Raw genomic sequence first — 26,268 nt, 5'->3', positions numbered from 1 at the left:
TGAAAAATTTCTGATAACCACTGCGAAGATGTTTTATGACGAAGCACTTTGATTCATTTGAAAGTTAATTAAGAATGGAGTAGGAATGGTGAGGTTGCATATTAGTAATTCAAATTTAAGTTTTGAGTCTTTGGGTTATTTCCTTACTATTATGAAGCCTAAGAGGTGTGAAAATAGTATGGAAAACTTTGTCTTCTGTTTCACTATTAGTCTGTAATTTTTAGTTTTTAATTTTATATTTAGAGACAATTGTTTATTTTGTCTCCTTCCTCAAATCATTGCAAAGTATATATTTAGTGTCTATTTCTTTGTAGTGAGAGTTTCAGAAAGAAGCCATTGGCTGAGCTGATTATCCAATGAAGTTGTCTGACATGAGTTACTTTAGTTTGTGGTTTTAGATGAACAGTACATGGTGCACAGCTGTTGCTCAAACAGCTTTGTTCCAGCTGTCTTACTGGCCTGTCACAAAATACCCCACATTCCTTTTCTTTTAAAAACAGAACCTCTTGTAATATTCTATACATTATTACTTAAAATGGATCTAGTAATTAGTGACTTTTCTTCGTTTTTACTCCTATCAATAGCTGTTTACTTAGAGTAGTGCCAAAATGAATTATGTGACATAGATTTCAGCCTTGTCATATTTTTAATTCTTTGAAAATTAAAGTTGCAGTTGTGAAATATGTATATGAGACAAGTTAAGTGATTAACATTGAAAAAGGCACCATACATTAATTATGTCCCCCAAATAAGTAGCTAGTATCTAGATAATGAAACTAGGCATCTTCTATTTTCTTAATATTAACCTTGAGTTTGCATTAATTTCAATAGAATTATGAAATGAAAAGGTATAATATCATGTTCTATAGCTTGTATAGAACCTGTATTGATGAACTTTGGTTTGTATTTTTGATAAGCTGGTTGGTTGGTTGGACTTCATTTTCCTATACAATGCGGTAACTGAATTATATTACTAAGGGTTTCAAGTTTTGTTTTTTAATTAGGAGCAGGTACCTATGAAAAATACATTGAAGTAATTATGACTATTTCATTTTCTACCAGTTACAACCCTTTATGATTGGAAGGCAGCATGGCATCGTCATGGTCATTATTTCCATCCTACAGATGAGGAAATGCAGGCTTGGGAAGAAGGGATTTGCCCAAGGTCCTGTAGCAAGTAAAAAGCGAAGCTGGGATTTAAGTTGGTTTTTGTATTTCTAAATATGATCCTCTTCTCACTACAGAACTATTAACGTTAAGTTGGAATAAAAGTGCCAACACTTACTAGAGGGGAGCTGAAAAGAGTGATAGATACTCTTTCTGAAGTTCTTGGTCATGTGACTGTGTTAACAATTTGAATCTGGGAGGAGCAGTGGGGTAGGAGGAGAGGGAAGGGTGAGGTTTCACCCAAAAGCACACTTGATGTATTTGTATTTCTATTAAAACTGCAATTGATGGCTACTGATAAAAGCTAGTATAGAGCTGAAGATTTGCAGTGGTGTCCTCTCCAAAACGTAGTTTAGGAATACTATCATATGATTACTAATGTTGTATAAATGCATGAGAATGACAGATACCAAATTCAGGATATTGATTACCTCTTGGTGTTGGGGGAGGAGAGAGGGGAATATTATTGAGGAGGCATGCAAGAGTCTTCAATCATATTACAAATGTTTTGTTTCCTAAGTCGGGAGGTGAGTATGCGTATTTATATTTTTTCATAACATTTTCTGAGGTATTTTATAGTTAATTAAGAACAGAGAATGTACTCTGACTTAACTGTGTAGTCAAATGGAAATTTTTAGCTGTTAATTTGGTGTTAAAGGTATCATGACTTGTTTGACGAGACACAAGTGTTTTCTTCAGGGGTTTTCCTTCAGAGTAGGAAACTATTTTTATTTTTATTTTTTTTTTGGTCCTTCTCAAACAACAAATAAAACTTGAGTACATTCTTATTACAGTAAGAAATTCATATTTCAATTTGTGGATAAAACTTGTACGTGAATGTGTGTGTTATGATTTGCTTTAAGAATTACTATACATGGTTTCTGAAGATTTCTCCAAAGCACAGTATCTAATTTTTGTCTTGGTAGTTACAGGAACTGATGATTAATTTTGCCTTTAGTTTCCTATATACAGAAATGCCTTTAACTTTTCTCAGCACCGAATTCATAACACTATTTGTAGGTATACAAAACAAATGCCCACATAATGTAGTTTGAGGTAGGTTTACCGATTGAAAGAAAACCTGGAGTATCATACTAGACCTGTGCTCTGTGCTATGCTGTTGACTTTTTTTGCTCATGAAATTTATTCCTTTAGAAAATGGATTACTTTTGGACCGAGAAGATTTTCATCAAGTGTTGAATTTTCAGGGGGAGGGATAGGATTATTTATGTAAAAAATGTGCTGCCACTCTTTTGGTGGCTTTGCGTATGACAGGAATCTTATTTTCATCATGGGATTAGAAAAAATGCCGTGGTCATTGTTCATCTTAAAGGCTTTGCCTGATTTGGGTACTTATGCCTTTGAGAGAGGTGGGATGGGGGAGAGAAAAGGAATTCTGTGTTCTTGGAACAAGAATGTGAAAGTATATACATTTGAATGTTGCTAATTTCCTCAAGAAAGGAACTCTCCATCTTTAGATTTACAGATTATAATGTTCAAGAGGAAATGGGTAGGGGTAGGTAAGAGGTGGAAGGTTGGGGAAGGTGGAAAAAGTGCTCTTGTTCTTGAGTTTAGAGGTTTGGATTATATCCTTTTTGGGAATTACCTAGGAATTAACTCATGGTGTAAATTGGGGATCCTTTGATGATTGTGGATAGATTTTTACTGAACTAAGGGTCTAACTCTTACGGTATTGATTTTTGAGAACTTGAAAAAGCATTTGCTTCTAGCATGGTTTAGTTTTGTAGGTATTTTTCTTTCGGTGTCTTCTAGCAGAGCCATTCTTCTCATTCCAGTGACAAGTAGAAGCTGTGGTCTGTTAAGACTTTTTAATAAATTGGAAATGGTTCTTAATGTAGGGATTCTTAAACTTTTTTGTGTAAAGGGCTCTTGGTAGTTTGGTAAAGCCTGTGGGATTCTCAGAATACTTTTTTTTGGCTGAGTGCGGTGGCTCACTCCTGTAATTCCAGCACTTTGGGAGGCCGAGGCAGCTGGATCACTTGAGGTCAGGAGTTTGGGACCATCCTGGCCTATGTGGCAAAACCCCATTTCTGCTTAAAAAAATACAAAAAATTAGCTGGGCATGGTGGGGTGCGCCTGTAATCCCAGCTACTTGGGAGGCTGAGGCAGAAATCGCTTGAACCTTGGAGGCGAAGGTTGCAGTGAGCCGAGGTCGCGCCACTACACTCCAGCCTGGGAGACAGAGGGACAGACTCTGTTGCCCTGTCTCCCAGGCTGGAGTGTAGTGGCGCGACCTCGGCTCACTGCAACCTCCCCCACAACCCCCAAACCCTGGCTCAAGCAAACCTCCCACCTCAGCCTCCTGAATAGCTGGGACCACTGGCCTGCACCACCACACCCGGCTATTTTTTTGTGTGTGTTCTTAGTAGGGACGGGGTCTCTCCATATTGCCCAGGCTGGTCTCGAACTCCTGAGCTCAAGCCATCTGCCCACCTCAGCCTCCCAAGGTGGTGGGATTACAGGCATGAGCCACTGCTCCCAGCCAGAATACTATTTTTAAATGTATAAAATAAAATGTATATGATTATAAGGGGAACCAGTACATTTAAATTCAAATATCAAAATGTTAGAAGCAAAATTATTTAACTTTTTAAAAAAATTCTTTTTAACTTTAATAACTTTCTTTTTTAACTTTAACTTTCTATTTTCTTTCTTTCTTTTTAACTTTAGTAGTGTAAATGCTATTCTGACTTACCTGCAGTAGCTATTACATGAAAATATCTGACGTCTGTTGTTGACAATCAGCAGGTATTGCTAGAGTGCTTTATAGAGGAAGTGCTAAGTTTCAGTTGGAGGTATCAGAAAACAAAATTACAACAAATTTAATTGAAAGATCTAATTGGCTTTTTGATCCTAGAATCTGGCAACATCTCATTTTATAAAATAGAATGACTGTTCTGATGAACTGAGCACAGCAGTTTGGCTTTATAGACAGAAAAGGGCTGAAGAAAGCAAAAACAAAACAAAAAATGGATCGGTCTTTTTATTTTTTTATTATAGATTTTTTCTTCCCCCCCCCCCCTTTTTTTTTTTTTTTTGGTAGAGACAGTCTCATTGTGTTGCCCAGGCTGGTCTCGAACAACTGGCCTCAAGTGATTTTTCCCACCTCGGCTTCCCAAAGTACTGGGATTACAGGTGTGGGCCACTGAGCCCGGGCCAGCTGATATTTTTAAAGTTATTTTCCTTGTAAAGGTTAAAGCAGATGGGACTTCCTTATTGTGCCAGCTAAAATTGGCCTGTTTGGGTATTTGGCTGTCATCTCTCATTCTCCTGATTTCTAGAAGGTCAGATAAATGGCGTGGTGGTGTGGAACTTCATTCAGCATGGGTAACTTCATTTTGGTTTGGTCTTTTGGGCGTAGTACAGAAGCTCAGTCCAAACAGATGGCGTCACATAAGTTTGGTTTAACAGAGGTTAGTGAAAAACCGTTTCCCCATCATGTTTTGAAGTTTTAAATCCCAAGAACCCCTTTCTATTGTGGTGGAAAAAAAAAATCAGAATTTGGGATTGAGTCCCATATTCACTGTTTTGTAGTATCTGTATCCTTCTGTAACTCTGAGCTTTAAATCCCCAAAACCCCTTTTTAATGTGGTTTAAAAAAAATTAGGATTTGGAGCCATTTGACTTCGGGATTGAGTCTCATCTTTACATGTTGTGCATTCCTAATTCAAAAATCTGAAATCCAGAATACTCCAAAATCTGAAACTTTTTGAGTCATGATATGATGCCACAAGTGGAAAATTTAAAACTTGACCTCAGTTTTGCTCTTGACCTTGAAACAAAGTACACAAACTTTGTTTCATGAACAGAATTATTAAAAATATGTGTCAAGCTACCTTGTAGATATGTGTAAAAAGTGTATAGAAACATAAATAAATCTCATGTTTAGACTTGGGTCCCATCCCCCAGGATAACTCATGTATATGCAGATATTCCAAAATCCAAAATAATTTCAGATCTGAAACACTTCTAGTCCCAAGTATTTCAGATAAGGGATACTCAGCCTGTACTTACTAGTATCTGCGTCCTTATGCAACTCTGAGCCTTAATTTCCTCATCAATATAATGGGGATGATAATAGTACTTACCTTATAGGATTTTAGCTTTTTATGTGGGTACTCTAGGTATTACATTATTTATGTATAATTTATTGCAACCTACTGATACTGTCATTTTGCCAGTTTGAATAAAGTATGGAAACCTTTATGTCCCTTTATTTTCCTGTTTATAATATAACTTTTAAATATTCTCACTATATACATTTTACAGTATTAACTTTTTTTTTGAACTGTCAAGCATACTATAGAAAACTCGAGAAGGAAAGCTATGGAGTTTGTCCATATTTTTGCTAACCATGTTTTTTCCTTTCTGATGTTTCAAGGTTCCTTTTATTGTTTAAGGAACTTTCTTTAGCCATTCTTTTAGGGTGGCCCTTCTGGCAATACATTCTCTTTGGTTTTCCTTATCTGAGAAGGTCTTGATTTCTCCTTCATCCCAGAACAATTTTTAAAAAATTTACTGTACATAAGATTCTGAGTTAATACAGTAGTCCCCCCTTACCTGCAAGGGCTATATATTTCAACCCCCGCAGATGCCTGAAACTGTGGATAGTATTGAACCCTACATATCCTGTTTTTCCAATAAGGAGATAGATACCTACGATAAAGTTTAATTTATAAATTAGGCACAGTAGGAGATTAGATTATTAATAAAATAGAAAAATTACAACCATATACTACAATAGAAGTTATCTGAATGCGGTCTTTCTCAAAATATCTTTTTGTTCTATATTCTTATGATGATATGAGATAATGCCTACTTGATGAGAAGCAGTGAGGTAAATGATGTAGGCATTGTGATGTTGCATTGTTACTATTGACCTTCTGATGTATGGTCAGAATCATCTGCTTTGGATGATCCTGGATCGTTGAGGCATGATGATATGGCTTGTTGAGGCATGATAATGTCAACAGTTGAATGTTCAGAGCAGACAGTGTCAGTGTTGATGACTAACGGTTGAGTAGCATATACAGTGTGGATACTCTGGACAAAGGGATGATTCATTGTCCTGGGTGAGATGGTGTGAGATTTCATCAGGCTACTCAGAATGGTAAACAATTTGAAACTTTATTTCTGAAATTTTCCATTTAATATTTTTGAACTGTGGTTGACTGTGGGTAACTGAAACCAAGGAAAGTGAAACTGGGGATAAGCAAGGTACTGTAGTTTTCTTTGATCAGCACCTGAAAGATACTGTGCCACTTCTTCTGATCCCCATGGTTTCTGATGAGAAATCTGCTGTTTTTCTCCTGTAGGTAAGATGTTTTTCCTAGGCTGCTTTCAATATTTTTTTGTCTTTTGTTTTTAGAAGTTTAATTATGATGTGTCTTGGTGTAGATTTCATTGGGTTTTTCCTCTTTGGGGTTTATTCAACTTCTTGAATGTGTAGGTTTATGTCTTACCACATTTGGGAAGTTTTCAGCTGTTATTTCATGTACTTTTTCAGCTCTATTCTCCTTGTCTTCTCATTGTGATCCTCTGATAACATGGAAGTTAGATCTTTTGTAACATTCCCAAAGGCTATTGAGGCTCTGTTCATTGCTTTCTTTTCTTCAGTGTGTTTTCTGTTTTTCAGATTTGGTAGTTTCTACTGTTGTGCATTCTAGTTTGTTGATTCTTCTGTCCCTTCCATTTTACTGTTAAGACCATCCACTGAGCTCTTTATTTTGATTATTGTATTTTTTAGTTTTAAGCTCCCATTTGTTTCTTTGTACTTCTGTGTCTTTACTGAGACTTTCATTTCTTTGCTGAGACTTTTTTTTCATTTGTTTCAAGCTGTTGAAACATTTTTATGGAGACTGCCTTAATATGTTTGCCAGATAATTCTGACATCTTTGTTATCTCGATGTTGGTGTCTGTCGATTGTCTTTTTGTCATTTGGTTTGGGATCTTCCTGTTCCTTGGGTTTTTCTTTTGAAATCTGCACATTTTCATATTTTGTTGTGTGGCTCTGTATTTTTTTAGACTGGGTTAGCTGGCTTTTTTGGATACCACTCTGGCAGGAGAAAGGGAAGTGCTGCCTTGTTACTGTGAGGTGAGGCAGGTGTCTAGATTCCCTACTCAGCTTACATTAAGTCCAAAATGTGGGGACGCTCTTTATTACTGCCTGGTGGGGATGGAAGTCCATTGACACTGCTGGGAGAAGGAGGTTCATGCTGGCCAGTTGGGATGAAAGTCTTAGCTCCCCACTTGGTCTTCCCTGACACCACTGCAGTGGGGTGTTGGGGTGCCCCTTTACAGCCTTTTGAGTGTGGGATTCTAGGATCCCCACTTGACCTTCCCTGGTGTGGGCAGAGGTTTTTTCTTTGGTGTCTGTTGGGAGTAGAGCAGCTGTCATCTAAAAGTTTTCTGTCTTGCTGGGACGTCCTGTTCTGGTCCTTTAGCTAGAGAGAGCATTCTTTTGTTAGTACTTTTTTTGTCTGTGTCTGTTGGCATTTCCATGTTGCTGGCTTTTTCAACTCCAACTCTGGGATATATGTTGTAAAAAGAAAACCCAGGAAACTCACCACAGTGTTGGTTTCTTGGATTCCAAAGTGTTGGTCTATATGCCTTCCCTCAAACTTTCAGAGTCTTATGTTTGTCAAGGATTTTTAGTTTTTAGCAGGAGAAATAGGGAAAAGTATGTCTACTCTATCTTTTCAGAAGAAAAAGTTATTTTAAGGGCTTTTTGGTTTATTAAGTAATGTTGTAATTGATGTTTTCTTCTGAAGTTTTGATTTTGTTTCTATTTTTACTTCTCTGCTAGCTCAAAAAATAGATTGATATTTTTATGCCTCATTCAAATTGCAAGTCATTTTGTCATTCATCTTAATTTATGATGAGTTCAGTTCTGAACCTGTTGAGTTTGAGATGCTTCAGGGGCTGCCATATGAAGGTATATATCCCTTTTTATAATCAGAAGAGAAGTGTAGGTAAGAGATTTAGGTGCAGAGGTAGATTTGGGAATGTAAAGTAAGGATTTTTGAAGCTAGTTGGTGTAGATGAGGATCATTCATGTTAAGGAGGTCTGCCGGCTCAAGGTGGGACTCTGGAAGCCTGCCATTAAAAGGGACTCTGGAAGAAGAAAAGGAACAAGATGACTGAACAGAACCCACTGGAGAACTAGAGACACAAATCATGTTAGGTATTACAGAAACCAAGAGAAGACAGTTTCAGGAATGGCTTTGAGTGTTCAGCAGGGTCACAGGTCTTAGATTGGTAAATAATCTGATGGTGAAAATTGTAAGTTTGGATTCAGCAATGAACAGGACACAGAGAGCAGTGTGGGACTAGAAGCCAGACCGCTGGATGGGCAGTCAAGAAAAATGTTGATGGAGGAGAAAGAAGGAAGGTAAGAGCAGAGGTTGGGGCTAGGTTGGTGGTAGTGCAGTGGTGCATGTGAGTGTTTTTAGAAAAAGAAGGTGTCTTGTTTATATGCTGAGGAAAAAGCTAGTACAATAGGGAAGATGTTGGAGGAGGGACAGTTGTTGATGGCAAGGACCTTTGAGAAGGTTGGAGGAGATTTGATTTCTAACTGAAGGATAAAAGATGGGCAGAATAATATACTTTTTTTTTTTAACACTCGCTAGAAGGGTGGGAAGGATATTTATATGGCTATGTTTATGGATGCAGGAGAGTTTTTAGAAACAAGGAAGAACTTGATGGGAGTCCCAGCTAGATAATTTTCTTTGATGTAGGAGACAGACTAATCCATTATGTGTGTGTGTGTGTGTGTGTGTGTGTGTATGTATGGATGCTTTTCAAAAAAGTTTTACCCTCCATCAGTAATTGAATAGGTTACATGGATATATCAGAATTATATATATAACTTAATGGATATGATCAACAACAAGAACTGCATTTTTAAAATAAATTTGCTGATGATACAAATAATTCTCATATCTTAAAATGACAGCAAGGTGAGCAGTTGAAAAACAAATCAATAAACATTTTAAATTGTTAGCCCTCACTGAATAGGAAAAAAAAACCAGGACAAAGTAAAACAATAAACGATTTTTAAATTATCAAATTGACACAGGTTAGTAAAATACTACCTGTTATAGGTAAAGTTATGGGAAATGGGCACTCTCGTGCTGCTATTGAGATTGGAAATCAACAAGCTGAATTAAATCTTAAATTTCATAAATTTCGACCCAGTAGTTATTTTCCAGGTAACTTTTTCTGATGAAGTAATTTCCTATATGTGCAATGATTTGACTGTTGCTTAATCTAAAAAAATTAGAAATCACCTATGTGGTCAATAATGAAGATGGATTAAATATGGTCCATGTCATTAAAATTACTTTTAAAAGACTGGTAAGCTAATGCTCATTAAAAGTAAGGGCGGGGCTGTGTGAGATGGCTGACGCCTGTAATTCCAGCACTTTGTGGAGGGAGGTGGATTGCTTGAGTCCAGGGGTTCAAGACCAGCCTGGGCAACATGGCGAAAACCCGTCTCTAAAAAATTTAGCCAGGCATGCTGGCACGTGCCCGTGGTTGCAGCTACTTGGGAAACAGAGGTTAAAGGATCACCTGAGCCTAGGGAAGTCGAGGTTGCAGTGAGCTGTGATCGCTGCCACTGCACTCCAGCCTGGGCGACAGAGACCTGTCTCCAAAAAAAAAGGGGCAGGGTGGGGGTGGGGAAAACAGATTATAAAATGAAAACAGATTATAAAATGAAATTCACAGTACAGCATAGATTTAATTATATATGCATAGGAAAACAGGACACAAGCTAAGAGTGGGCATCCTTAGATGGTGGAATTATGGATGATTTTAATTATTTTTGTTTTTTTCTTTTCTGTGTCTGGATTTTCTTTATTGAACATGCAATATGTTTATAAGGAAAAGGAATTTTTAAAACTTGAGTTTATAAGCTTAAGGGAATATAATTGGTGTAGTTTTCTAGAGTATAGTTTAGTGTTATTTATCAATAGCCTCGCCTTTTCCTTTGACTTGATAAATACACCTCCAGGGATAAGAACCATAAATATCTATCTACAGTGATATTTATCATGACATGACTTATAATAGTGATATACTAGAATTGTCTTAAATAGACCAATGGTTAAATATAACTCTTTTTTCTAGTGGACTTAAAGCAGATCGGTGTAGCTTATAAAAATTATTTAAGAAATATATATGATGACATAAGTTGCTTATACTATGATTTACCTGAAGAAAAAATACTTTTTGTGTTATTTTTTAATCTTTAAAATAATAGATAAAACAATGGGAAGAAATAGAAATTGACCCAAATGTTGAGTTATCTTTTTCTTTATACTTTCATAAAGTTTTTACAATGGTGTAATTATTTTATAAGAAAAAAGTTGTAAATTAATTTGCTAATTGATATAAAATGATATTTAAACTTTTTTTGGTTTATATTGTTATTGTTTCCAGGGAACTCTGATTCTTATTTTTACTGTTGCATTTTTTTTCCTTGTATGATTTGTTCATGTCTTTGCCCATTATCTGTTACTTTACTTGGAAAAGCCTGTCATGTGAGTTTTGAAAAATTACACACCTTGTGTAACCATCATTACAAGCACATATAGGACATTTCTATCTCTCCAAGAAGGTCCCTTGTCTCCCTTCTGACTTTTTATTCCCATTGTTCAGTTTTGCCTGTTTCTAGACTTTATATAATAGAAATATACAGTATGTACTCTTTTTGTGTCTGGGATGTTTTTGCTTGGCATGATGATTTTGACATTCATCTATGATATTGCTTGTTTCTATGGTTCTTTATTTTATTATTATTATTACTATTTTTGAGACAAGGTCTCATTCTGTTGCTGAGGCTTGAGTGCAGTGGTGCCATCATGGCTCACTGCAGCCTCAACCTCCCCAGGCTCAAGTGGGCCTCCTGCCTCAGCCTCCCAAGTAGCTGGGACTACAGGCACACGCCACCACGCCTGGCTAGTAGTTAGTTCTTTTTTATTGTTTGGTAGTATTTCATTGTATGATATACCACAATTTACTTGTCTGCTTATTGATAGAACATTTGGGTTGTTTCCAATGTTCATTAACTGTGAATAAAGCTGCCCCAGACATTGATGTACAAGTCATTGTTTGGACTTACATTTTCATATTGCTTGGATAAATACCAAGTTGTGATTATTGGGTCGTATGGTAAGTGGATGTTTAACTTTGGGAAACAGGTGGTTTCTTATAAAATGGTTGTACCATTTTACATTCCCAGCAACTGGGTATGGAAATTCCAGTTACTCTGGGTCTTTACCGATACTGGGTATTTTAGCCAATCTAATGGCTGTGCTGTGGTATCTCATTGTGGTTTTAAATAGCTTTTCCTTGACGACTAATGATATTCAGCATCTTTTTATGTGCCTATTGGCCATTGGTATAGCTCCTTTTGTGTGTCTGTATGTCTTTTGTCTCTTTTGAAAATTGGATTGCTTTGTGTTACTGAGTTGTAAAGTTTCTTAATATATTTGGAACACAAATCCTTTGTCAGCTGTGTATTACAGATAGTTTCTTCTAGTCCATATCTTGCCTTTTCATTTGTTCCTTCCCTTTTAATACTTACATCCTCTTTCTGTAGTAGACTTGCCAGAACTTTTTTTTTTTTTTTTTTTTTTTTAAGAGTTGGGGATCTCCCTATGTTGCCTACGCTGGACTTGAACTTCTGGGCTCAAGTGATCCTCCCGCCAGTCTCCTGAATAGCTGGGACTATAGATGTGCGCCACCATGCCCAGGCCAGAACCTTATAACAAAATAGTTCAAACAAAATGAACACAGTAGATAACCTTGTTTTGTTAACTATTTTTTTCTACATCGTGTACAATGGTTTTAAAATTTTTTGGATAAGTTATATAAGTATCCTATTAGTGTTTTCCTTTAATGTTATTTGCAATGTAATTTTACCAGATGCTGTTTTGATATCTGTAGAAATGGATCCTCTTTGTTTTTGTTAAGCCATTACTGTGATATGTTAGATCATTAGAATATATTTACTTAGTACACTGAGGGGTTTTATACACCATCATTTTACCCCAGTTTCTTGTTTATTTTATTAAGTTGTATGGGTGTTGTGTTTCTTGTTTCCAGTTTCTAGGTTCACAGAAACTTGTGACCAAGAATATATTTGACTTGAAAGATGAATTGGGTAGTATGTTCATCTTCATATTCTCCCAGGGCTTTAAATTTTATGTTCTTTAAAAATCTGGATTTAGGGTCAGGCGCAGTGGCTCATGCCTGTAATCCCAGCACTTTAGAAGTCTCAGGCAGCAGGATTGCTTGAGCCCAGCAGTTTGAGGCTGCAGTGAACTATGATCACGCCAGTGCACACCACCCTGAGCAACAGTGAACTGTCTCTAAAACAAGCAAACAAACAAAAAACAAATGAAATTTGCCACTGTTATTAACTATAGTTACTCCTATTGTTGATAAACAATTTTGTCTATTTCATCCTGTTGATTCAGTTTTCTACCTCTTGAAATGTAAGCTTTATGTGTAAATACATTTTTCTTCTTAAAAATTTGGTGTGAAAACATTGCCTTAATTAAATTTCTCAACATATAGCTGTGGTTAAAAGTATCTTATTTTTGTTACAGCCTTTTTCGTTTGAATATTTATATCATCTGAAAAAAAAATTTTTTTTAATGTTAACTACATGTCATCATAATGCCTCTGCTTTTTCAGGGAATCTGAAATGATAAAGACGTCCCCCTCATCAGTGGTACTCATTTAAGTTTCTGAGTATGGTGTTCCCCCAACCCCAAGGAACCAGTTTTTTGTTTTTTAATTGAAACAGGGTCTCTGTCCTCCAGGCTGGAGTGCAGTAGCACAATCATGGCTCACTGCAGCCTCGACCTCCCAGGTTGAAGGGATCTTCCTACCTCAGCCTCCTGAGTAGCTGGGACTACAGGCGTGTGCCACCATGCCCGGCTAATTTTTAAATTTTTTATATAGATTGGGCCTCCCAAAGTGCTGGGATTACAAGATGTAAGCTGCTGAGCCTGGCCAGGAAGCAGTTCTTAAATTATCAGGACTACCAATGAATAGATCCTTGTATTTTTCCTTAAATTATTTTGTTCTGTTTTCCTTTGGGTTTGTTTTCTAAAATCTTAGAATTCATTGCTGTGTTTTTACATCTTTTAATGAACACATTCACATTACACCGTGAATACTACATTGAGTCATTTGGATATTTTTTAATTTTCTTTTTCATTGTTTCTAAGAGATAGGGTCTTAGTCTGTGGCCCAGCCTGGGGTGCAGTGGCACAATCATAGCTTACTATAGGCTCGAACTCTTGGGCTGAAGCAGTCCATCTGCTTCAGCCCCTTGAAGAGCTAGGACTACAAGCATGTGTCACCACGCCTGGCTAATTTATTTTTATTTTTATTTATAGAGATGAAGTCTCACTATGTTGCTCAGGCTGACCTCAAATTCCTGGGCTCAGGTGACTGTCTCACCTTGGCCTCCTGAAGTGCAGGGATTACAGGCATGGGCCACTGTGCCTGGCCCTGTTTTTAATTTCCTAATTTAAAATGTGTCCTTTCATCATGTGAATTTTTATTATATATTTAAAATTTAAGTCTTTGTTGATTTCTGCTTTTTTGTTCTATTTTACTTTTGGCATCATGGCCAGAAATTGGCAAGTTTTAGACATTAGAAAAGGTATGTTTTTGCTGTTTACTGCAGGAATCAGATCCAGGTGTTGAGGGGACCTACAGCTTATATAATTTTGAGGACCCTCTTTAGGAAAGAAAATACAAGATTATGCACATGTGAATATTTGTTTAGAATAAGAAAAGGTATCTGTGTATGCGAGGGGTCTAAAAGCCTAACTTGATTCATTTTGTGTTTGATCTATCTCTGCTTTAAAATATATAATTTTGGCCCCACGTGGTGGCTTGTGCCTGTAATCTTAGCACTTTGGGAAGCTGAGGCGGGTGGATCACTTGAGGTCAGGAGTTTGAGACCAGCCTGACCAACATGGTGAAACCCCATCTTTACTAAAAATACAAAATTAGCTGGGTGTGGGGGCTCATGCCTATAATCCCAGCTACTTGGGAGGCTGAGGCAGGAGAATCCCTTGAACCTGGGAGGCGAAGGGAGGTTGCAGTGAGCTGAGATCGCGCCATTGGACTCCAGCCTGGACAACAGGAGTGAAACTCCATCTCAAAAAAAATATATATATATATGTATATGCGTGTGTGTGTGTGTGTGTGTGTGTGTGTGTATGTATATGTGTGTGTATATACATATATATGTGTGTGTGTATATATATATATATATACACACACACACACACACACACACACATATATATAAAATTTGGTGTATGTGCCGGGCATAGTTGCTCACACTTGTAATCCCAGCACTTTGGGAGGCCGAGGCCGGTGGATCACCTGAGGTTGGCAGTTTGAGACCAGCCTGACCAACATGGAGAAACCCTGTCTCTACTAAAAATACAAAGTTAGCTGGGCATAGTGGCGCATGCCTCTAATCCCAGCTACTGGGGAGGCTGAGCCAGGAGGATTGCTTGAACCCAGAAGGTGGAGGTTGCGGTGAGCAGAGGTCACGCCATTGCACTCCAGTCTGGGCAACAAGAGCGAAACTCTTGTTGAAAAAAAAAAAAATTGGTGTATGTGTATTGCATCTGCATTAATTTTAGTCATTACTTTGTGTCATGTATATATTTTTTACTACTTTACATACTATAGCTGTTTTTCTTCTAGTGTTTCTAAGCTTTTACATTGATTTATACTTTTTTGTTGCCTAAATATTATTTTTACTGTTGCCTAATGGCATCTTAAAATTTTACTATAGCTCTTGCCAAATAAATTTTACCATGTTTGATATTGTTTTTACACGTGTCTTCCTGGCTTGACTAAATTTGCTACATTATTTTTTCTCACTCTTTTTTTTTTTTTTTTTTTTTGAGTTGGAGTTTTGCTCTTCTTGCCCAGGCTGGAGTACAATGGTGCGATCTTGGCTCACTGCAACCTCCACCTCCTGGGTTCAAGTGATTCTCCTGCCTCAGCCTCCCGAGTAGCTGGGATTACAGGCATGCACCACCACACCTGGCTAATTTTGTATTTTTAGTAGAGATGGGTTTCTCCATGTTGGTCAGGCTGGTCTCGAACTCCTGACCTCAGGTGATCCGCCTGCCTCGGCCTCCAAAAGTGCGAGAATTATAGGCATGAGCCACCGCGCCTGGCCATTTTTCTCACTCTTTACTGTTAGCCTTATGTACTTTGTAAGCACTACAGTGGTAGATTTTATTTTTAGAAAATCCTGTCAAGACTTTTTTTTCTCTAATGAAGCCATTTAACTTTGTCACAGCTACATTTGGTCTAAGTTTGGCTTCTTTGTGTTTTTTCCTCCATGCTTTCCTATGTTTGACCTGTGTCTTGTAAGAGACAACATCCATTCTCATTACCTGCCGTATGGAAAGAAGTAAATAAAACCTTTTCATCCTTGAATTTTTTTTCTCTATTGAGTTGTTACAGGTGAGAAGTATATATGAATCTGTGAAGAGTTGTTGGAACCTAATTAAATTATGTACTGCACGTTTTTCTTTTTCCCTAAAGCATTTAGAGTCTGGCTAAATAGGGGAAAATTTATATTGTTTGGGTTATGTTGTGTCAATTTTTATTAAAATTCTGGTAGCAGTCATACAAATAATTTGACTTTCACATGAAATCAAGTGAAGAGAAAGGGGGGTAGAGAAAGATGCTCAGGCAATGTAAGTTTACTAGTACAAATTAAAAGGCAATTTTGTGGGTACTGATAAAATGCTTCTGAAGGTAACATAAATTGCATTTGTTCTTAAACATTTAGGAAGGGCATGGAATTGTTTTTCTTTCTCTCCATCCCCACTTCCTCCCAATGTGTAAGTAGAAAGATTTTTTCCCCTCCTCTTAACTCTGAAGAAGACAACTTCCTTTATTTTGCATTTTTGGGTGGTGGTTATAGTACTTGTTTTGAGGTTTGACCATCCTCTCTTCAGCTATTTTTATTTTTACACACCACTTGAAGTGAGTACACTCAGTGGTATTTTAACTATAATAATCTGTTAAGAAATTCATGTATGCATATTGCATCTTAAAACTGTTGTTTTGATTTAATTTTAATTGGTTTATGCTATGTCTGCTTCATCTTAGTTTTTAAACAAGTGACTACTTAGTTTTCCACAGCAGAACAGAATAGCAAAATCATATTCTTTTTTTTTTTTTTTTTTTTTTGAGACAGAGTCTCGCTCTGTTGCCCAGGCTGGAGTGCAGTGGCGGGATCTCGGCTCACTGCAAGCTCCGCCTCCCGGGTTCACGCCATTCTCCTGCCTCAGCCTGCCAAGTAGCTGGGACTACAGGCGCCCGCCACTACGCCCGGCTAATTTTTTTGTATTTTTAGTAGAGACGGGGTTTCACCGTTTTAGCCGGGATGGTCTCGATCTCCTGACCTCGTGATCCGCCCGCCTCGGCCTCCCAAAGTGCTGGGATTACAGGCGTGAGCCACCGCGCCCGGCCAAAATCATATTCTTAATAGGATTGAAATGTTTACTTTCTTTTTGATGTTATAAGTGATTTAAGATACGACATAGGAGTTTTAACTGCTTGATTGCTCAGTGCCCTGTCCCCTCCCCCTCCCAAATAGAGGACAACATTTTGCTCTTACTGGAACTCTTAATTTTGTCAAGTCAGCTGGTATAAAGATATAGAACTTTTACCCCTTAAAATTCTTTTACTGATTTAACAAATTTCAGAATTGGTGATACTTGTTTATTTTATGTTTGTATATTTACAATCTTTTCTAAAACTTCATTAGCGTTAGAAAGCACATATTTCCTGAAATGTTTTAGTATAACAATTTGTGTAGTTGAGTTTGATATGTGTGATAACTTTTTATTTAAAATAAAATTTAGGCATCATGTAAAATAGTTAACAGTGGCATACTTCCTGGCATAGAAATTCAATATACAAAATGCTAAAAATTACACAATAGCAGCAGCATTTTAAAAGCTATATAACAGTCTAGTTACTTGTTTTAAGCTGTCACTATTTCCGGTTTTGTGAAAAATAAATATAGCATTAGGTACATGCCCTGAGATTTTCAGATTTGCACATATTCTGTGGAAGCCTTCTTTACTACTATTTTTGGATTCCATGCTATGGGATAATAAGGTCACTTTTTAGCACCATTCAAGAATAAAAAACCAAGTTCTCTCAAAGGGGTTCTAGTACACGTCCATGTTTTGCTGAATGCTATTCTGTAATATTCTTAAAAAACATCTTAAATTCAAGGAAGGAGATGAGAGAAGCATAGTGAGATTCCAGACTTGATCCTCCTTCAAAATGCTATCAGTTGCTGCTCATTCCCCAGCCTCTACTGCATTCCACAATTGGACAGTATTTTATGTAATACTTAGAGTTTTTACAAATCAAGTAGAAGATACAATGGAAGAAGACACCCCTTTTAGAATAGCAAACAAAAAGACTACTTCTACACACTTAAAAAATGTGTGTTAAATTTTTTTTTACAGTCTTCCATACAAAATTTTAAAGCAAACATTAAATTTTTTTAAGACAAAGACTTAAACAGAAAAGCATACTATATTTCCAGATCTGAAAATTCAGATTCTTAACAGTGTCAATTCTAATTGTTAATCTACAAACTTAATGCCATTCTAAAATAAAAATATTGAAAGGAAGCCGGGCACGGTGGCTCACGCCTGTAATCCCAGCACTTTGGGAGGCCAAGGCGGGAGGATCACGAGGTCAGGAGATCGAGACCATTCTGGCTAACAAGGTGAAACCCCCTCTCTGCTAAAAATACAAAAAGCCAGGCGTCGTGGCAGGCGCCTGTAGTCCCAGGAGGCTGAGGCAGGAGAATGGCATGAACCCGGGAGGCAGAGCTTGCAGTGAGCCAAGATCGCGCCACTGCACTCCAGCGTGGGCGACAGAGCGAGACTCTGTCTCAAAAAAAAAAAAAAAAAAATACTAAAAGGATTAAAAGAAACTCCCAACAGTACTCTTGCTGAGGTAAGTGCTAGTGCAAGCTCATTTTGTGGTAAGACAAGGTGAATTCAAGTAACTTCTCCAATGACAAAGCTGGGAAGTGGTGAAGCAAGGCTTCACATCAGGGTAAGTTTGAGGGCTCAGATACGATGATAGCTAACATGCAGTAAGTGTTTATATTATTGTGCATTACCATTCCAGGTGAGGTACTATATATTTTCTCAATTAGAATAGCATCTTAATGTAAAACTTGTGAGGCTTTGCTAGGAAGAATCTAGAGATAATACAGGCTGTGCTTAGAGATTTATGAACCCTTTATAATCTCTCCCCTCAATCTCGCTTTTTTCCACATGCATAAACTAGTTATCCCAGCATCACTTTTTGAGTACTGTTCTATGCTTCCCCTATGATCTGCTCTTCTATTTATATATCGAATTTCATTCATGTGGATTTATTTTTAGGCCTTCTGTTTTGTTCCATTTGTCTTTTTTGCCTATTCTTGTGTCATTTCCATTCTAAATTTCGTAGAGGGTAGGATAAGTTTCCCTGCTGTGTTCATTCAAAAATTCATTCAGCACATATATTGGAGACAACTGCTATGTGCCAGGAACTTTTTAGGTGCTGGGAAAATGGCATTGAGCAAAACAAAAAAATTCTCATGACTCTTACACTTATAAACAATTTCTTGGCTATTTTCTTGCTTATAAATTTTAGGTTCAGCTTGTCAAATTCTATGAAAAACCCAGTAATGTTAAAACAAATTTAAATTGGGTCAGTTAAGGGAGCACTGATACCTTGACAATTCTATCCATGAAGAGAATGCTTTTACACTCATATACGTTTTCCTTTTTTTTTTTTTTTTTGGCCTCTGTTTAAAGCTTAATTATTTCTTTCCCTAAAGGTCTAGAATATATTTTTACTAGAGTTAGTCCTGCATATCATATATTTGCTGTTGCTGTTGTAAATGGTGTCTTTTATTTGACTTAAGCTTTCTAATAGCTTTATACAGAAGTGGTATTTTTTTTTGCTGTTTATTTTTTCGACAGGTTGAGGGGACTATGTAGACTTTTATATCCAAATACCTTGCTGAATTCTAATTCCAATAATTATTATGTATATTGTTTCCTGTGCAGATAATCATATCAAATATATTCTTAAAAATTTGTATACCACTTTATTTTCTTATTAAATTAACTAGGACCTCCAATGTAATGTTGAATAAATATGGTAATAGTAGACATACATACTTGTTCTTGATTTTAATGAGTTTCACTGTAAAAAGTGTTGTTTGCTATAGTTTTTTTTTTTTTAAGACAAATGTGACATTTTCTTATCCTTTTTCCATATCTCTTATAGTGTTTTTCTTTAGTCTGTTCATATGGTGAATTATATTTATAATTTTAAAAAAGTCTATATATTCTGTTCCTGAATTTCTGGGACATATTGGTCATAATGTATATTTTTATATACTGTTGGATTCTGGATTCTGTTTGTTAATATTTTGCATATGGACTCTTTTCATGTATGTTTATTAGTGAAATTGGCCTGTAATTTTCATTTTTTAATAATGTTCTTGTCTGGTTTTGGTATCCAGATTATACTGGCCTCATAAAATGACTTGGGGGGTGTATTTCCTCCTTTTCTATTCTCTGGAAGAATTTGTGTGATACTGGATTTACTTGTTTCCTGAAAGTTTGGTAGACCTTGCTTTTACAACTTTTAGACCTAGTTTGTGTGTGTGCCGGTGGGGGGAAGAGGGGGAAGTTTATTTTATTTTTTCTTCCTTTATTAGTCATAGTGCTGTTCAGGCTTTCTGATTATCCTTTTTTTTTTGAGACAGGGTCTCGCTCTGTCACCCAGGTCGGAGTGCAGTGGTGTGATCTCACTTTGCTGCACCATCCACCTCCCAGGCTCAAGCAATCCTCCTACCTTAGCCTTCCAAGCTGTTGGGACTATAGGCGCATGCCGCTATGCTTGGCCTAGTTTTTTTGTTGTTGTTTTGTTTTTGTAGAGATGAAGTCTCACTATGTTGCCCAGGTTGATCTCAAACTCCTGGGCTTAAGTGATCCTCTCATCTCAGCCTCCCAAAGTGTTGGCATTACAGGTGTGAGCCACTGTACCCAGCCTTCTAATTATTCTTGAATCAATTTTGAGTTTGTATTTTTCTAGGCGTATGTCCATTTTGTCTGTGCTTCATATTTATTGCATAAAGTTGTTCATAGTATTCTCTTTTAAATGTCTCCTCTAGCTGTAGTTATGTTCACTATAGTCTGTCCTTTAGTTCTCCTTAGCAGTGTTTGAAGAGATACGCTTTTTAGTCCATCTATTGAATTTTTACCATTAGGTTATATTTTTTATTTCCATAAGTTCTGTGTGTTTCCTCTTAAGATCTTAGTGGTCATTCTTTAACTTTTTATTTTTTAAATTCACATTTGTCTTGATTGGATTGATGGTCATTTTTTATAGCCTCTTGCTCACTTGTTTGTGATTTCATTTATTTTTAACATTTAATCCGGAATCTTGATGGGTATGGCTGATAAAATTTTAACAATGGTTGTTATGTACTTCCCTAATAAGTTCAAGATAAATTAGACTGTGACTACTTTAACACATAGATATAGATCTGGATTGCTGTATTTAGCCAATAACATACGTATTACAGAGGAATTACTTGTTGGATGATTAAGGTTTTCTTAGGTAAATAATTTGGAAAAAATGTTATTTGTGGGAAATATAGGAAGAAAGAAATTAAACATCAAGGAAGAGAAGCAGGAAATGTTGCTAGCTGTGTCTTCCTAGATGGAATGTGTTTGTATAGCATTTGATATTTCTTTGTGTTTTTTTTTTTGAGACAGAGTCTCCTCACATTGTCACCCAGGCTGGAGTGCAGTGACGCTGTCTCAGCTCACTGCAGTCTCAACCTCCTGCACTCAAGTGATCCTCGTAGTTTAGCCTCCCAAGTAGATGGGACTACAGGTGTGCACCACCATGCTGGGCTCATTTTTTTTTTTTTTGTATTTTTGGTAGAGATGGGGTTTCACCATGTTGCCCAGGCTGGTCTCAAATTCCTGAGTCCAAGTGACACACCTGCCCCTGCCTCCCAAAGTGCTAGGATTACAGGTGTGAGCCACTGTGCCCAGCATATTTGATATTTCCTGATAGCAGTTATCACCTATTTTGTTGGGTATATTTGTCTTGACAGTTAGATTGTGATCTCTTTTGGGGCAAACACTTTTATTGGTGGTGTTTTGTTTTTTATACAGTGTCTAGCATAGTAACTGTTAAATAGTATATAGTCAATAGATTTATTATAGCTAGGTAGATGGGATTTTAAAAGTACTAAACAAAGTTCAATTGTAGTTAATTATAATGAACTAATCATTGTCATATGATTACAGTACGAGGAATTATACCAGAAGCCACTAATAACTAGATCTGGATTAAATATACCTTTTAAATGCATTATTGGGTTCAAAAAAACCAAACACATTTTCAAATGTTGTCTTCACCTCACTCAAACAAGGGTGAGCTTAAATGGAAGCAGGGGAGCATTTAGTGATAAAAACACAGAACAGGCAAAATTTCAGAAATGGGTCAGACTTTCAATTAGAGACTGAATTTTCAGCCAGCAACAAGCCAGGGATAGTGGAAAGGGAGCTAAATCTGGTATTTCCTTTATTAAGAAGGATCCATCCAACCTGGCTAGAAGTGATCATAGGTAGGCTAAAGTGGTCTTAATAGGTAAACAGCTTCCCTGCTCTCCCCACTCCCACTTGCTCCTGGATGATCAAACACAAAACACAAGACATGGCAAAAATAATAACAAATGTAGCCCCCAACCCCCAACCCCTATACAAGAACTTCAGAAGTTTTGACAATTTTTGATCATTCTTTTAAGTGAGTATAAAGAATGAGGGACTTTCGTGCCATCCTTGTAGAGTTAGTTCCCTTCCCTGTCCCACCACCATTTCACCAAGGGAAATTTATTGAGAACACCTAAAATTTGCTGTTGACTAGTCATGTTAGGGGAAGGAGGAATGGTATAGACATAAGATTTTAAAATATTGACGTGCGTCGTGTGTTTACTTATTTGCAATCTTTTTTTTTTTTTTGAGATGGAGTCTTGGTCTGTTGTCTAGGGTGGAGTGCACTGGCCGATCTCGGCTCACTGCAACCTCTGCCTCCCAGGTTCAAGTGATTCTCCTGCCTCAGCCTCCCAAGTAGCTGGGATTACAGGCGCCTGCCACCACACCCAGCTAATTGTTGTATTTTTAGTAGAGACGGGGTTTACCATGTTGGCCAGGCTGGTCTCGAACTCCTGACCTCAGGAGATCAGCCCACCTCAGCCTCCCAAAGTGCTGGGATTATAGGCGTGAGCCACTATGCCCAGCCATTTGCAACCATTTTTTTAAATTGTTGTGTTAAGTTACTATAAAAATTAACATTTTTATAGTTTTCCCACATTTTACTGCATACTACTTTATATGACTTTATGATTGTTAGGTTCTTAAACAATGAATTTTGACTTAAGTTCTTTTATATTTTTATTTTTACCAATCCATCCTATTTAAAATAAATTAATAGTATGTTTAATATCTTTCAGAAAAGTTCTTTCCCTGTGCTTTAATTTTAACCAGTTTTAGCTAATGTTTTTGCACAACCTTTTCTAAAAGCAACAAATAATTGATTAAGGGGAATCTGGGCTAAGCTGAAGCTTAACTCTGAAAGCTGTGTTAATGAGTTTCCATAGGAAAAACTGTCTACTGCTTTTATTTTGTTTATAGATTGAAATTAGCTAAATGAAAGAATAAGTAAATGAGAGCTGCTTAAATTAAGACATCCATTAAAATTTTTTGTCTTGATTACTTTCCCGTCTCAGAGTCAATTGATCTGGCTTTTGGTACTGAGCACATGACTCTAGACAAGCATGCAGTCATTCTAGGCATACTGCTATTTGAAAAAACAGCTTTAAAAAGATGTTAGAACCTGGGAAAAAATATCTTGCTCTCTTGTGGTTTCACAGGATGCCAAAGGTTTAGTTGCTTGTATGTTTCACTCAATTGCTTTCTGTTCAATGAATAAAATCAGCACCGTGCATTAGAACTTTGCAGACTCACTGCAAAGGAAATAGCAGGAGGTAAAGTGACCTCAAATGAATGTGGCTTTTTTTGTGGGGTGCGGTGGGTGGGCAGTGCTACAACTTAATAAACAAATTGAGTTTTGCAGGAAGAAAACCTTTAACCCATCTTTATACTCTCTCATGGTGACATTTTTCTTCTGCTATCATTCCCATTCTTTAAACATTTTTACAATGATTAGTTCATTTTAAACATGTAACATAGCTACAGTTGAGTTGTTTAGTTGTTTTATAACGTATATGTTTTTCGAGTCCATCAGTAAACTGGAATTATAATCTTATTTTTGTTGTTTTGATCACACAACTTTTCTGCGCTCTGAAAAATACAACTGATACTTACTTCTCTTCACCAAAAGTCTTTTAGGTAGGTTTATCACCTTTTATCAGTTGAGTGAGTAAGATATTTTGAAAATATTTTACAGGGGAAGTAGCAGAAATTCTCCATCATGTATGGTAAACTTGCAGTTATCTGTGCTCTTAGAAGACAGAGGGAACCGGCCGGGCGCGGTGGCTCACGCCTGTAATCCCAGCACTTTGGGAGGCTGAGGCGGGTGGATCATGAGGTCAGGAGATCGAGACCATCCTGGCTAACAAGGTGAAACCCCGTCTCTACTAAAAATACAAAAAATTAGCCGGGCGCGGTGGCGGGCGCCTGTAGTCCCAGCTACTCGGGAGGCTGAGGCAGGAGAATGGCGTGAACCCGGGAAGTGGAGCTTGCACTGAGCCGAGATTGCGCCACTGCAGTCCGCAGTCCGGCCTGGGCGACAGAGCGAGACTCCGTCTCAAAAAAAAAAAAAAAAAAAAAAAAGACAGAGGGAACCTGAATAGTTAATATAATTTTTATTGTAGTACAGGTTTTACTCACATACCTTGGGAAAAGCTTCTTTTCCTGCTTGGCATTATTGCCAAATGTCAGGATTGACGGAGGTGTATGGGGAGATGGATTTGAGAAAATCTGGACATGTTACTCCATGAATCTAGAGAAAGCAGGGGCAATACATTTATTTTTGTTTTCTGAAGGTAGCTCTCATTGTAATGATGTAATTTGGGGCACAGAATTGAGCCAGACTGCTGGGAATCAATTTCTGCTCCATGCTTACTAGCCTCGTGACTGGGCAAGTTACTTAAAGTCTTTCCTCACCTGTATGATGGAGACGATAATAAGACCACCTACTTCATGGACTGTGAGGTTTCAATGAATTAATATGGTAAAGCACTTAGTGCCTGACACATAGTAAATGATAGCTGTATTGTTGCCAAGTCAGTAAGTGTGAGTCAAAGTATACAGATATGTTTCCCTGAAGGAATTTGAAGTTTAATACTTAAGTTTTGTAAAAGTCTGATTTATATTTACTTTTCAATAGTCCAAAGTGGGGACTGAAAGAATGTACAAAATGTCCGTGTTTGGGTTATCTTTCCTAAACACTCTGCCTTCCTCAGGAAACATTTCTTCTGTCTCAGCTGTTCCACTGCCCTGCTGAGCTGGAATGACTACAGCACTGGGAGACACAGGTAGTGCTGCACCTGGCTGGGCTCAGGAGCCTTCCTGTGAGAGAAGGGTTTTGCTTTTCTTATCAGGATGGTTAATTGAATAGGTGCCATCTCATCCCTGGGCACTCAAGGTTTTTTTTTTTGTTTGTTTGTTTGTTTTGAGACAGATTCTCTCTCTGTCACCCAGGCTGGAGTGCAGTGGCATGGTCTCAGCTCACTGCAACCTCTGCCTCTCAGGTTCAAGTGATTATCCTGCCTCAGCCTCCCAAGTAGCTAGTACTACAGGCATGCGCAACTACGCCCTGCTAATTTTTGTGCTTTTAGTAGGTAGAGATGGGGCTTTTCCATGTTGGCCAGACTGGTCTTGAACCCCTGACTTCAGGTGATCCACCCGCTTTGGCCTCCCAAAGTGCTGGGATTACAGATATGAGCCACCACGCCCGGCTGCACTCAAGTATTAAAAGAAGTGAACATCCATATAGGATTTATTAGGATAGTTACTCATTTGACAGGTATTTCTCTAGGGTTTACACATAGAAAAGCCTTCAGGATTTTGCGAAGACAGGGTTTCCTTTTCCTGTATAAAGGACAGCTTTAGTCCTAACAGTGAGGGGAAATATCATGAAAATGATTCCTTTATTCTTCCTGCTCCGTTTGAAAATGACCTGATTCTCTTTTAGAAATGTGGCTTATTTTACAGTTGTCCTCTTCATACATTTATTTACTTATTTAGAGACATTCTCTCACTCTGTTGCCCAGACTGGAGGGCAGTGGTGCAATCGTAGCTCACCTCAGCCTTGCACTCCTGGGCTGAATTGATCCTCCAGCCTTGGCTTCCTGACTTGCTGAGATTACAGGTATGAGCCACTGTGCTCAGCTCCCCTTTGTACATTTAGAGTTTGCAATGATTTGTTTTGTAGGGAAAGATCAAGAGGAAAAACTAGTAAGTTCATTCATCATCTGCTTCTTGTTGATAGAGGCTACGTTTCTTAAAAGTAATTACCTTTGAATTTTGTTTCCCAAATAATTTAGTGAAATGTCAATATGAATTCATCTTGCCTTTTAAGATTTTATTTTATTTTGGGATGGAGTTTCGCTTTTGTTGCCCAGGCTGGAGTGCAATGGCACGGTCTTGGCTCACTACAACCTCTGCCTTCCGGGTTCAAGCGATTCTCCTGCCTCAGCCTCCTGAGTAGCTGAGATTACAGGCACCCACCACCACACCTGGCTAATTTTTGTATTTTTAGTAAAGATGGGGTTTCACCATGTTGGCCAGGCTGGTCTTGAACTCCTGACCTCAGGTGATCCACCTGCCTCAGCCTCCCAAAGTGCTGGGATTACAGGTGTGAGCCACCATGCCCGGCCTAAGATTTTATTAATACAGATATTCTGCATCTTTACAGGTCTGTCTTGCATTTTGCAAACAC

At 37.6% G+C, this 26,268-nt stretch overlaps 1 protein-coding gene across 13 annotated transcripts in view, besides 2 other annotated features; it reads left to right on the top strand.

The window, feature by feature from the left end:
* RRAS2 (RAS related 2) overlaps positions 1 to 26,268 on the top strand; it is an 86,587-nt gene that overhangs the window by 21,003 nt on the left and 39,316 nt on the right. For 2 of the 13 annotated variants that reach the window (NM_001440714.1, NM_001440709.1), the window contains exon 1: positions 1,372 to 1,694. The exons of 9 other annotated variants lie outside the window; for them this stretch is intronic. The gene's annotated coding sequence lies outside the window, so the exon portion shown is untranslated. Of the gene's footprint in view, positions 1 to 1,371; positions 1,695 to 6,398; positions 6,504 to 18,225; positions 18,340 to 26,268 lie in introns of those variants that run through there. 2 more of the 13 variants (NM_001440713.1, NM_001440712.1) reach the window with 2 other exon arrangements.
* Positions 2,139 to 2,813: an enhancer, noted in NCBI's record as "OCT4-NANOG-H3K27ac hESC enhancer chr11:14362237-14362911 (GRCh37/hg19 assembly coordinates)". NCBI's record gives its function as "activates a minimal SCP1, AML or CMV promoter by ChIP-STARR-seq in naive H9 embryonic stem cells {active_cell/tissue: H9 hESC(naive)}" and the evidence as "EXISTENCE:reporter gene assay evidence [ECO:0000049][PMID:30033119]".
* Positions 20,115 to 20,194: an enhancer, noted in NCBI's record as "active region_4471". NCBI's record gives its function as "activates an Ori minimal core promoter by ATAC-STARR-seq in GM12878 lymphoblastoid cells {active_cell/tissue: GM12878}" and the evidence as "EXISTENCE:reporter gene assay evidence [ECO:0000049][PMID:35858748]".

This window comes from Homo sapiens, chromosome 11, assembly GCF_000001405.40.
Source record: "Homo sapiens chromosome 11, GRCh38.p14 Primary Assembly".
NCBI classification, from domain to species: Eukaryota; Metazoa; Chordata; class Mammalia; order Primates; family Hominidae; genus Homo; species Homo sapiens.
This window is presented reverse-complemented; position numbering and strand designations above follow the sequence as displayed.